Source organism: Homo sapiens, chromosome 7 (genome assembly GCF_000001405.40).
Source record: "Homo sapiens chromosome 7, GRCh38.p14 Primary Assembly".
Classification (NCBI taxonomy): Eukaryota; Metazoa; Chordata; class Mammalia; order Primates; family Hominidae; genus Homo; species Homo sapiens.
In genome coordinates, this window is record NC_000007.14 from 117,266,081 (window position 1) to 117,279,825 (window position 13,745).

Sequence of the window (13,745 nt, forward strand, 5' to 3'; positions counted from 1 at the left end):
GTCTTGAACTCCTGACCTCAGGTGATTTGCACACCTCAGCCTCCCAAAGTGCTGGGATTACAGGTGTGAGCCACCACGCCTGGCCCATCTTTTTTCTTTAAATATTATGTACCTTATTTATGTATTGTTCATTTTTAATTTTATTGTTCTAAACAGATTTATTTATATAATCAGTCTGTAATAATTTTATTATCTAATATTCTTGGGAGTCTAAGTCTATGATTTGTTTGTTCTATGACTCTTCATCATGGTGGCTTATTTTGTGGTATGTTTTGTAATTTTGAATTATGAACTCAGGTTTGGTGAAATTTTTATCTGTGGGAATCCCCTTCAGCCTGGTTAAAAATGTGAGCTTCAAGGAGGTTTTGCCTTTGCATCTGCTCAATCCAGAAAGTATTTAAAGGTTGATTTCTTAATTAAACAATTCCTGGCATATACAAATTATGTAAATTCTAACATCAGAATAAGGTGAGAAGAGCATGTCAGCTGTAAATGGTCAGAGGACACATTTTCTCTATTACAATTCTATTTTACAACAGACTAGTTCTTTGCTGATTCCCTGAGGTTGTGGTCAGGTTTTTCCTTTATTAAATACATAGCTCTTTGAAGAGTTTGACTTTAGCTTTATTTCCTACACCAACGTGGTCTTCAAAACCCAAACATCTAAACAGAAACATTAGTCAACTTCTATTGGGGTACCGAAACTTGGATTTTCAGCTTTCTCTTCATTTTGGTCTTTGGAGCTTTCCTATATTAGAGACTGAAGGTTGGGAGAGTACACTTATACATTTCAAAAGATGTTTATTTTACTTTATGCAAAATTTCTAGGCATTTGTAGCCAGGGGCTTTTTTGAGAAATATTTGGTATGCCATATTACCAGAAATATTTATGTCTCATTTATTTCATTTATCTTATGCTATGGTGTTTCCCAAACACTAGGGAAAAATGTTTGGCAGATTGTAAATTGTACCAGATATTTGTTGAATAAATAATTGTTGAATTAAGGAATAAAGCTGGATAACATCCACATATTTTAGAAGAAATTTTCAGAAGATAGATTCTTAACTCCAGGCAGCAGCAGTAAGGATGGGGATTTTAGGCACTGTTCAAGGACAATGAAAGGAAAATGATACTTGGAGATGAGTTGTTCCCTGTCATGGGTGTTAATATATTCTACCTAGGGGTCTGATTCTGCTATAGTTGCTATTAGGAAAAAGGCTTACATGTCCAAGGAATAGAAAAATTTCCTTTGGCCATCGTCTCACTCTATTTATTGCTCCAAAAGAATGAATCATTTGAATACAATAAAAGTTGATTTAAAAAAAAGAATCAAATTCTAGGAAGGATTAAACTCCCTAGATTTTATTTACTTATTTAACATACCGCCTTCTTCATGATCTCACATTCCTTAACAGCTTTCTCACAGATTAAAATGCATAACTGGGGACAGTTTTTTTCCCCATCATGAATAAACATGAGTGTAAATCTATTCCATATACTTTTAGAATAATTATAATAAAAATTCTCCATCCTCTCCTTTGACCCCTTGTTTAAGATTTCATTTATACAAAGATTCCCTCACTTGCCTTCACTCCTCAGATATTCATGTGAGGACTTGTCCTTGGTTCCCCTACTTTCTGAACAGGTTTCCCTTTTATTAATTTGGCCACCATCAGAAACAACCCCAATCACAAGTTTGGACTAAGTGACCAGTCAACTGGATATCAATTGGAGGTCAGTGCTAGGAACCTATGTTCATCCCTGCTGGACTGTTTCTAGATTAGAAGGTGTATTAGTCTGTTTTCACTCTGCTGATAAAGACATACCCGAGATTGGGTAATTCAAAAGAAAAAGAGGTTTAATGGACTTACAGTTCCACAAGGCTGGGGAGGCCTCATAAGCATGGTGGAAGGCAAAAGGCAAGTCTTACATGATGGCAGGCAAAAGAGAATGAGAACCAAGTGAAAAGGGAAACCCCTTATAAAACCATCAGATCTCATGAGACTTATTCACTACCATGAGAACAGTATGGGGGAAACCGCCCCCCATGATTCAATTATCTTCCACAGGGTACCTCCCACAACACATGGGAATTATGGGAGCTACAATTCAAGATGAGATTTGGCTGAGGACACAGCCAAATCATATCAGAAGGGGAGAGATTACCTTTTGTTTCTAGAAGCATTATCCAATAATCTAGTATTGTACAAATCTTCCCAGTTTCCTTTATGAAGAGAAAGAACACCCATACTTCATGTTACAGGAAGCAAAAATCTTATCGTTAATAGATGCCAATATCATATTTACATGTAGTTTTTGCCTTTAAAATATTTTAAAATACATCGTTACATTTGAAAGCAAGTCTGAAAAATATTTCTTAGACATTGTTGCTAAGAAAATTCTTCCTTCTTCAATGAGAGGGCAAGATTACTATGAAAAATATTTTTTAAATTATTGACATGTTAATTCAATCTGATTAATCAAGCATTAGGCAGAGGCTTGGAGAAAACTCTTAAATTATGATTCATACCATGTCTAAGTTGATACATAGTATTTTAGAACCATCATCAACTAGGGACTGACTCTCTACATGACAGAGAAAGCAGGTTTCTCATGACCAGAAATCTCAGATTTTCTGCAAGAATCTAAAAACTATTTTATTTTATTTTTTAAGACTGAGTTTCACTCTTGTCGCCTAGGCTAGAGTAGAATGGTGCCATCTTGGCTCACTGCAACTTCTGCCTCCCGGTTTCAAGCGATTCTCTTGCCTCAGCCTCTCGAGTAGCTGGGATTGCAGGCACCTGCTACCATGCCCAGCTAATTTTTGTATTTTTAGTAGAGACAGTGTTTCACCATGTTGCCCAGGCTGGTCTTGAACTCCTGACCTCAGGTGATCTGCCCACCTTGGCCTCCCAAAGTGCTGGGATTACAGGCGTGAGCCACTGTGCCTGGCTTATTTTATTTTAAGGAAAAGTGCCTGTTGTGTATAATTCAAAGTTACTTTCCGTTAGAGTTATGTTCAGTATGTACCTACATATGATTTGCTATCTAAATTTCATATAAATTAAATAAAAATCATGGAAATATTTTGGCCATCCATGTATCCTCTTTTTTGCTTAGAGAATATGATCATTGAACTGGTCATTTTCAATAGCCAGTTGGACGAATGAATACTCATTGAGTTCTAATCACAGGGAGCTCTGGTATACTAGAAAGGACACTGGAGTGAGAGTTAGAAGACAAATACTTGAGTTCAGGCTGTGCCTCTTATATGCTTATAAGTCTTTTATTACCTGGAGCAAATTACCATATCTGAAACTTGGCTCATCTCAATATCCGTATCTAAGGGTGGTTCTAAGCACCAAATCCAATCCAAGTACTTTACAAAGTGCTTGTCAAGTAAAAGGAAAAGTGTTCGGTGTTAGTCCTTCCAGAAGGTTCTGAGCAAGTGTATGTTTGTCTTAGTCACCATTACATTTCCAGTACGTAGCACAGTGGTTGACTCATAGGAGATGCTCAATACAGCCTTACTGAATGAATAATAACTGTTCTTCCCTGAAGATGATTCAGAGTGTCTTGCTCATATCACAGTTCGAATCATGAAGTTTCTTTTGTTTTCCCATGAATAACATCTGGAGGTTGGAATAAATAATCTGCAAAGTTCCTTCCAAATGTGACATTCTGTGATGCCAGGAATTTTCACTCTCGGGATCCTGAAGTGTCATGTAAACTCACTGCTGTGTTGAAGTCCCATATCTGTATGACAGAACAATAATAATTTTCAGAAACTGTTTAATTATCTGTCTACAATATATAGATCAGGGGAATCATCTTGACTTGCTCATTCCGTTGGTTCAGAAAAATTAAAAGAAATTTGCCAATGAATGGCTAATAGCCAAAGGAAATATTCAAATTCATTTGTCTGTATAGACAGTCTGCTGAGTAATTCTTACTCCAGTTACTAAATCCTGTAGAAGAGGAAAATTTCTCATCTGTGAATCATGATTCTAATAAAATCTCCAAGGGCTGGTGTAAATACTTTTAAAAACACAAGTGCTTATTATTTCATGAGAGTTGCTGAGAAGATAAGGCATTGTTTATAGTTACAGCAATATATAGGAAAATTAAACCCGTACTCCCTTCTCCTTCTAGTTGTACTCTTAGGCTGGGAATATTTGTCTTGATTAAGCACGATTCCAAAATGACAATTCAGGGTTCGAGGCCTTTCATGAAGCCTTCATTACTATTGGAGAATAATGATCCTGGGGCAGATGCCAAAGATTATATGGGTGGGTAGACTTTTGGAGACACCGAGTCAGATTTTGTTTTCTGTTTTTCCTGCTATTTCTTCGGCTGGTGGGCGACCTCCACCTGTAACCTGAAGCACCTAAACATTTACAGATGGGTTTGTGACGCTCCCCAGCCTCTGCTTAAGTCACCAGTGTGAGCAGTCCAGCTGAGTGAATCCTGGTTGCATCTTCGTCATTTAATTATTTGAACTGGGTTTACGGGCAGTAATGTGACTCCTCTCGTCTGTGGAACTTAGGAAGGCCTACGATGCTATTAAAAGAGGACTGGGTGAACTGCCTGGGGAAATCCAGGGCCTATGATTCAATTACAGGGGCTTTCACGGGGTCAGTCACTACCCAGAAATTACAAAATCAAGTTAAGGGTCCAAAAATAGCCTACATGTTAAATTGATCATGTTGATCAGATTTTAATCATGCTCTTATCTAGAACTAGATAATACCATGAAGGAACAGATCACGAACTATTTGTTCATCCAAGCGGTTCTTGTCTGATCGTTACTTCGTTGGGCAGCATAAAATATAAATTCAGTTTCGCCCATGAATTGTCATGGCAAAGACAGGCTTTCTGATTACTTCTGTCAGTTGTCAACTGCCCCAGATTCTCCAGCCAGCTGGGGTTACCCTTCTTTTTTTCTTTGAGACAGACTCTCCCCCAGTTGCCCAAGCTGGAGTGCAGTGGTCAATCTCGGCTCACTGCAACCTCTGCCTCCCAGGTTCAAGTGATTCTTCTGTCTCAGCCTCCCGAATAGCTGGGATTACAGGCTTGTGCTACCACGTCCGGTTAATTTTTGTATTTTTAGTAGAGACAGGATTTCACCATGTTGGCCAGGCTGGTCTCAAACTTCTGACATCAAGTGATCTGCCTGCCTTGTCCTCTGAAAGTGCTGGGATTACAGGCGTGAGCCACTGCGCCCAGCCTAGGGTTACCCATCTTGTTGTCCACCACCCACACTGTTGGTTTTTTTTTTCTGCACTCTACTTCATTTTACCTCCAGCATGTGCTCCCCGTTTCCCACCCTTTACTGGCACACATTAGACAGTATTTCAGTTTGTTCTCTGCTAAAATATCAGCTGGACCACACCAAGGGTACACGTGGTGGGGCAACTGGCAGTGAGGAGGGGCGTTTCAATGAACAAACTGCAAATGAGACCCATCCTGACCTTAAACTTGAAATTCTCTCTCTTCACTTGAAACCCAGACTTTCTTCATTTTGCAGGGTCTCCTCCTCATTATTACTCTCCCTGCTGACTATCTTGAGCAACTCAAAAGTGTTTAATTATTCGCTGCAGATGTCTGCTGTTCTCACTCCTCCACCTTTCCAGGCATATGTATCTTGGGGATTTGGGGTTTTCTGTTTTTGTTTTTCCCACTGAGAGTATTGTGAAACTGAAGAATTCCTAAAAACTCTGCCTCCAGCTTCTAAAACCACATTATTGTTTCTCCTTGTTACCCTTCCATCCTTTGTCTGATTCCCCACAGTTAATGCCCATCCTAGAAACCCAGGAGCCTCACGCTTGCACAGACTCCAGGGACACACAGTGCGGGCCTACAGGAGCTTCCAGTCAAGTTTTAGCCTTTTTTATTCTGCCCCATGATGCTGAGGGGTTTCACAACTACCCCTTTTCCTAAAGATTCCTTCCTAGGAAGCCTGATACATTAATACTAAGAAGGAATCCCATTCAACTAATGTTCCCGATGAGGTGTTCCTAACCGAAAGTGGCTTGCATTTTAATAGAGGGCTTAACCCAAAGTGTTAGACCAGTGGTTCTCAACTGAGAACAATTTCACTCTCACCCCTCCTTCCTTCCCTGGGGAACATTTGGCAATGTCTGGAGACATTTTTGGTTGTCACAGCAGGGAGTCAAGGGAGTTACTTCTGGCATATAGTTGGGGGGTAGAGACTAGGGTTGCTTCTAAACATCCTACAATGTTAGGACAGCCCTGTCACACAAGAAGTTAGAAAACAGGAAAATTTCATTGACAATTTCAGGGCAAAAATATTTGGGGGAGATGTCCTTTGAAAAACACACAAAGACACATGAATCACCACCCCTTTTTATTTGAATTTTTTAAGATATAGGGTCTTGCTGTATTGCCCAGGCTTGAGAGAAGTGGCACCATCATAGCTCTCTGTAGCCTCAAACTACTGGGCTCAAGTCATCCTCCCACCTCAGCCTCCTAAGTAGCTAGAACTACAGGTGTGTGCCATCACACCCAGCTAATTTTATTTTATTTTATTTTGTAGAGACAGGGGTCTTGCTATTTTGCCCAGGCTGGTCTTAAACTCCTGGCCTTAAGTGATCCTCCTGGCCTTAAGTGATCCTCCTGCTTTGGTCTCCTAAAGTGCTAGCATTACAGGCATGAGCCACCACACCCGGCCACTCTCTCTTTTTCAGATCATCTAAGTAGGTGTGGTAGTTTCCAGATGGGTGGATGGAATCCTAGAGGGACAGTGTGCAGTCTAATCACGGGGCTACAATGCGGTGCTTGAAGTGCAGAACCCGTGCCTTAGTCAGCCAGGTTGCCCCAAAATATAGCTCATCTGAGAGGAAAAAGTGGGGAGGGCGGACTTCCTTTTCAGAGGAGAGTTTATTCCCATTTTCTGAGCTTTTACTGCTTGATAGAAGTAGCCCCCAAAATCAGGATGCACAGATTTCAGTAACCAGGCAAGGGATGCTCCATGTTTCTCACCAAGCAGAGAAAATGCTATTTCAACCCAGAGTCAGCACTTACAGGGAACGCAATAATTTGAGAAGTTGATGGGTGTGAGTTAGCTGCTAGGGAAAGACACCAAATGTATAAACACTGACAAAACATGCTAACATCAAGAGAGGGCAAGCACTCAGATTGGTGCACACAGGAAAACACAGGGCGAAAATGTGGCATAATTTCTCAATTTTTAACCTAAGTCTTACCAATCAACTCACAAGAATAGCTATCAGTGAGGCAAGTCAATTGCCTTCCTTGAACATCTTTACAAACTTGAAAGATGCCTCTTGATTGAGTTGTTTGAAGTACGGTCCTGAGAAAAGACAAGGGAATAGTTCCCATAACCTGCAGGGACTTCTTTTCACCAGAGGGTTTGGCAAGACTACCATGAGTTTAAAATAACAGAGTTAACACTGAAAATTCACTTTATTATGTTTTGATTTCAAAGAAAACGTAGACTTGTAAATAACAATAGTTCTTTGTAACAATCTGCATGACACTTTTATTAGCTAGTGGAAGTGGGAGGTTTGGTTAAACAGGAATCCATGTGAATATTGGGGGGAAGAAAGCTAGAGCTGGAACAACTATGATTTAGAAAAATAATAATCATGTTGGGTTTTGCAAACCACCTGTCACCTTGCTGATCCCCAGAAAAATGTAAAGAACAGTCTCATGGATGAGTGAAAATTTTCTCTGCCTAGATAAGGAGAAGGTCAAAAGACGCACAGCTTAGCTGTCAGCTCCCACCAGCAGATTGCTTTTCAGAGGCTCAGTGTGGACCTGACAAAAGCTATTTACCAGCTTTGGAACTGGCAAGGTTTATTTGTTGAGTACAACTCTTGCTCTTAAGATAAGGAAACCCACGTTGAGGTACAGTAAATAGACACGAAAGAATGGTTCTGGTCCATTGGACACCCCTCTGAGCCTTTATTTTGAGAGTCGGCAAGAGGAGAGATGAATGTTTTTCAGCTGAGCGAGACAACAGCCCCGGGCCAGCTTTTAATAACCCAGAAGTAATAACAATAACCCGCCTGAACAAGCCGGCCAGGAAAGCGCATGCACGGTCATGTTGTCCGCTTCTGAGACAGCCCTGCTTTAGGTCTGTTAGAGTTGATGTGAGGTTCCTTCATAAATTAATATGGCCTAGAAACGTCGATGTGAAACTGGATTTTCTGACTTTAAAGCTACCTTCTTTGAAAAAGAAATGTAATGCCTGATTTTTTTTCAGACTTTGTAATAATTCTAGTTAAAAAAAGAATACAGTTGTGACCATTTCAAAACACCTCTTGAAATTAATATTGGCTGCCTGGAACAGAGCTACACAATAGGTATGGACAATCTGAGCCATGGCTGGGGTCCCTGAGCCCAGTGGGCCTCATGATGGCTCAGGAAGTAGGTGCTGAATGTAGGGACAGGGAAGTGACAGCAGGAAGAAAGGTGGGGGTTACCAACAAAAGCAGAAAAAGCCACTGGCCCCCACCCCCCATTTTGTTTAAGAGACATAGTCTCACTCTGTCACCCAGGCTGGAGTGCGATGGCGCTATCTCTGCTCACTGCAACCTCCGCCTCCTGGGTTCAAGTGATTCTCCTGCCTCAGCCTCCTGAGTAGCTGGGATTACAGGCACCCACCACGCCTGGCTAATTTTTGTATTTTTAGTAGAGACGGAGTTTCACCATGTTGGTCAGGCTAGTCTCAAACTCCTGACCTCAAGTGATCCACTCGCCTTGGCCTCCCAAAGTGCTGGGGTTACAGGCATGAGCCACTGTGCCTGGCCTGGAAAAAGCCACTGCCCTTGATCACCAAGCTTGGCCAGTCACCTGGCAAAAGTTACCAGGTTCTTTCCCTCTCACGTTCCCTCCCAACATCTGGTGCCACCCAGATGCCACATGATAGATCCCTCTTTTCAGATGTTTATTTCAATCTGGTGACACCTGGAGAAGGGAGAGCAGATAGCATTCTGGGTTGCCCTATGCCTCTCCTGCTTCCCTTCTGAGACATCTGTAGTCCAGTAACATGCCAGAGCTCTCTCTCATCCCTGAGGGGCACAGAGCCAGAGCTTAGTGTGGTCATGGCACTGGGGACTAGCGTGCTTGAGCTTAAGTCACTTGAGTGGATAAATCGATCTCTTAAGGCAGAGCATTAACTCTTTCAGGCCTTGGGGGGCTACCCAAGATGCTGAAACTGAATGCACATTGACAAAGTGTGTTCCGAGAATAGAGACAAATATCAGTCAGCACCATGAACCAACTTACAGAACCAAATCTGTTGAAGAAAACAACTTATATGCTCAGTCTCAGGGTCACGTGCAGATTATATCTTTATTGTAGAAAACTCCAGTGAACTAGTTTATGTCCTATTGTGGAAACTTTTTCAGATATTGTAGAAAATTAATGGACATTATCTTGGACCTAGAAAACTTCAATTTATAGTAAGATTTTAATAAAGAGGGAATTTATAAGGGGATTTCCCAATTATTTTGTTTTGGCTAATTTGTGCCATATATTCCCCTTAAAAGCCTCAGATAATTGAGAGTTTCAGTGTATTTCAGGTTCCTGGAATACTGATCCTCTACCAAGCTCTAAGGCAAAGGAGTTTAAAATTACCTTCATTTGTTGTGTAATTTTTTTCCCGAACAATAGACATTTCCTCTTTCAGAAGTAAAAGCCGATAGCAATATTTCATTCTCTTATTTTTCCCACCTCAGTGGCAGGACCCACTGCCACTTGCGATGGTTGCCATAATCTCCCTTATGGATTAGGACAATTTATGTAGGTTCCTACGTGGATATCCTTGTCCCCTTGCTACTTACCAGGAGGGATATATCTCAGCATAAAAAGAATGTCAGATCTAAACATACCAGGCATAAAAAAAGTAGCAAACACACCATTGGAAGCTAAAATTATTTAAAATCCACTGAGTTAATTCTGGGAGAAGCTAGTTTCATTTAATGGATAAAGTCCTACACTATCTCAAACACTCAAGAGTGTGGTCCTATTTGTGATGGAGCATTGGGCAATGCCTGATATGTGCACCAATCCCTTCGCCTCTCTTGGTCTCAATTTCCCCAAACTAAAGGAAGCTGAGATGTCTCCTAAGATCCTTTCCAATTTGAAACACAGCCTGGATTGATGATTTCACAGTTCATCCAGCAGGAGGAAGGGCTGATGGCTGTGGGACCCCCATGAAAGTGCCTTCGCACTCTCATGAAGGAATTCACACCAACCTTCAGGGTAACTGAAGACTGAGCAGCTGCCCATGTGCCTGGCCTTCTTCACACCAAGCTCAGAGCAGCTACTGTCATTCCACTGTTCCCACCATCCGAATCCATAGAATAAAAGGAGGAAAGAGTCACTTTGGAAAAGTTAGACAACAATTTGGGAATGAGGGAAAGGGGATGAATTCTGACATTTTTAAGAGGGCTGGAGGCAAATGTTAACTATGGCAAAGTACTCCAGTAGGTTGTTTTGTACGAGTCTCAGTCTAAATGACCTTACTGTATGGTATTAAAGAATGAGGAAGAACCAATAATTTGATACCAGATGCATGTAATGAAATATCCTGTTAATGTAGCACTGTAAGGAAGTCATATACAGAATAAGAACCAAATTTTTCAAGAAGACGAGAAGTAGCTATTTCACCTTTCTTTCATTTAACATAAAAAAACGGTGCAGGCAGCCTCTCCATTTTCCCTGAATGTCATCTTTTGGCTGATGGCAGAAGCCAACCACTATTTGCATACTGATGCTCCCATAATTACAGTTGAGTCCCTTAAACATAGTCTCCAAGTTACGATTTGTTTGCAATATAATATAGCAGGGTTACCAACTTTATAAGCAATGCTATGTGTCATTTGCTTTAGGCTACAGTATCACATCATCTTGTAAGCATCAAATAAATACAATTAAATATGACAGGTCTTTAAACTGGGCTTGAAGGGTGATGGGCATTAGCAGACGGCGGACGTGGCCGACTTCTTTCAGGCATCTGCTTATTGTAAGGCCGCCCCAGGCACGAGTTAGCTCTGGAAACCTCTCTGTCAGCATTTTAGTTCACCAATCTTGTATCCCCAAAATTTTCATCCTTCAAGTCTTTCAGTTATGAGATTCCATGGGTCACATGCATAATATGAGATAGGAATTTTATTCTCCCTTTTTTTCTTGATCTGTACAGATATACTTCTGATATTCCATCCACTAAATTATTTTCCACCATATTCACCCAATAGTTACAGAATATTGCCAGACCATTCATCTTCTTTTTAATTCCCTTCGGATTCTAAGTGAGAAGGAACTCTCATTCCCTAAAGATTTTTTATATCAAGGGGACAGTAATGCAAAGCAATCCCTTTCTGAGGCTTTTGCTCTTACAAAGATACAACACACCATAGTACCAAAGGACACACGTCCCCACCTTGTTACATCAGATTTTAATATGGCAATAAATGCCTTGAAAAATACACATTTTAAACTTAAAAGGGTATTGAAAGCCATTCTTCTCCAGGTAATTACCAATTACCCCTAAGGGTGGTAGCTGTAAAACCACTTGATCAGACAAAAGTCTTGGTCTTTTCAAAAGTTAAAGTTAAGTCAGGGGCAGTTGATTCTGCTTTCTTTACTGTTCCCATCTGAGAGAAGTATGGAATTTCTTAATTGGGACCATTTGTGGGAAGACATTGAGAAAGCTCCTTTGAGACACTTTTTTTTCTGCTTGGCCAACTGCTCTAGAAAGAAGAAACGTCAAGGTGGGTGGAGACAGTGGTCTGGGCCCACCACCCTCCCGGCTGAACAGCCTGTCATGCTATTTCCAAAGAGAACTCGCCAGGAGGGGAGATGACTGCAGAACACCAGGAGATGGATAGAATAGGGTAGGCTTTAGGTGCAGCGTGTGGCCCCCCCATCCTGGGGCCCCCAGGGAGGAAGAGGGGGCTTCCGTTGAGATAAAGGCCACATGCCTTAGGAAATATCCCCCCAGAAAGAACCCAAAGGTCCAGTGTTCTTGCAGATCCAATGGAGTCCTTGTAGAAGGGAAGGTGGATGGTGACGCCTGCTGGGGTCATGTAGCGGTTGTCCAGTCAGCGTTCTTGGGGGCCTTGCATGTGTGCACATCCAGAGCTTCCAGGCAGTCCTGACAGCGCACGGCGCAGCACCAGTGGAACTTACACCCACACTTGGTCATCCGGGTGACATGGGAGGTGTCGTAGCCTCTCCCACAGCACATGACTTCACAGCTGTCCATGCCCCGGGAAGTCAGGTTGCACACACGGCCTGCTGTACCCAGGGAGCCTGGAAGACAAGCCAGGGAGTGTTACTGAAAAGGTCTGGGTGGAATCCAATATGCCTCCAGAGGAGGAGTCACGAGGTCCATCCTCCAGGACAGAGCCCTGACCCTCTCTTCCTACAGCCTGGGGCTGTTATACTCGTTCTGTGGGCCCATGCCATGTGTGCAAATCCCATTATGCCAGCTGCAGAGAGTGCAGTGGTGCTGAGAGGGCCGAGTCCCAAAAAGGTGAACATGAAACTTTGGATTTCCTTGGACACCCTGAATCCAGCTCTCCCACTTCTGAGTTGGATCGACTTTTCAGATTATCCTTACCCAGCCTTGAATTTAAGGATCCTTGATCGAGCAGAGCCAGATCAGAATAAAAGAAGGATCCATCCTGGCTCCTTCTCCCTACCTCAAACCACATTAAGGAAGCAGTGACCAAGGTTAGCTCTCTTCAAATTTGTCAGGGCATGGAGCCCTCAAAGGGAGGGAATTTTATCTCCATAGACCTGATTACACTGGCTTATGAGAAAGGGAATAGAACTCTGGTTCTGAAGAGGAGACATGGGCATCATTTGTGTGAGACCCTGAGGAAGGAGAAAGGCCCCACCAGGTTTATCATATTAACTGTCTCTCCTGCTGCAGTCTAGCAGGACATATAGATGTGTGTGAGGTCCCAGGCGAAGCCAGGATTCAAGGCCTTCAATAAACAAAATTGGCATAGAAAATCTGCCAGGAATTACCAATGGAATATTGTCTTAGTTAATCAGGGTGATGTTTGCTAAATGGCAATCCATATTTAAGTATTTGTTTCTGAAAAATAATTTTAAAGCTAGAAAGCCTTTTATTCATTTACTCTATTCTTGGGGACGCACTCAGAATTCTTTTATAAGCACATTATCAGACAACAGAACAAAGCATTGTAGACATTTTGGGAGAGTATGCTGGGCTTACCATGATCCTTTCTACTTCCTCCCCCACAGAGATGGGCACCTGGCAGCCATGTTGTATAACATCACCCTGCTCACTGGTGAACAATGATTGGACCAGGGGCAATCAACTGACTTGTGCTGGGCCAATCAGGTAAATTCTCTGTTGATTTGTGATTTTGACACAGATGATCACTATTGCCACTTAGTTGCTGTTGGCAGCTGTACACCATGGTGAGGTCTGTGGACTCGAGGAGGTCCACAGAAAAACAGAAATGAAGCAAATATACAGTGACAGTGAAGACAAGACATGGAAAGAAATGCTGCCCAGATCCTGGACTATTTTCTGGTTCTGCTTCCATTTCTCCCTGAGGCCTGACTGCATTCGAACGTTTGAGTTCCTAGAGACTCTGTATCCTTATAAGAAGCTTCCCCTTGTGGCTTAAACTGTCCCAGTTTCTATTGCTTGCTATCAACAATCCCACCTAATTGATAAACCTAGAGAAGCTAAACTCTTATTTAAAAAACAAAA

General features: G+C 41.9%; 1 protein-coding gene across 2 annotated transcripts in view; it reads right to left on the bottom strand.

The window, feature by feature from the left end:
- Positions 1-9,370: 9,370 nt before the first annotated feature.
- The window catches only part of WNT2 (Wnt family member 2), a 47,608-nt gene continuing 43,233 nt past the window's right edge, over positions 9,371-13,745 (bottom strand). For both annotated transcript variants that reach the window (NR_024047.2, NM_003391.3), the window contains exon 5: positions 9,371-12,304. Coding sequence is in view for 1 of the 2 variants with exons in the window: in NM_003391.3 (NP_003382.1) it covers positions 12,075-12,304 (230 nt within the window). In the remaining variant the exon portion in view is untranslated. The remainder of the gene's footprint in view (positions 12,305-13,745) is intronic.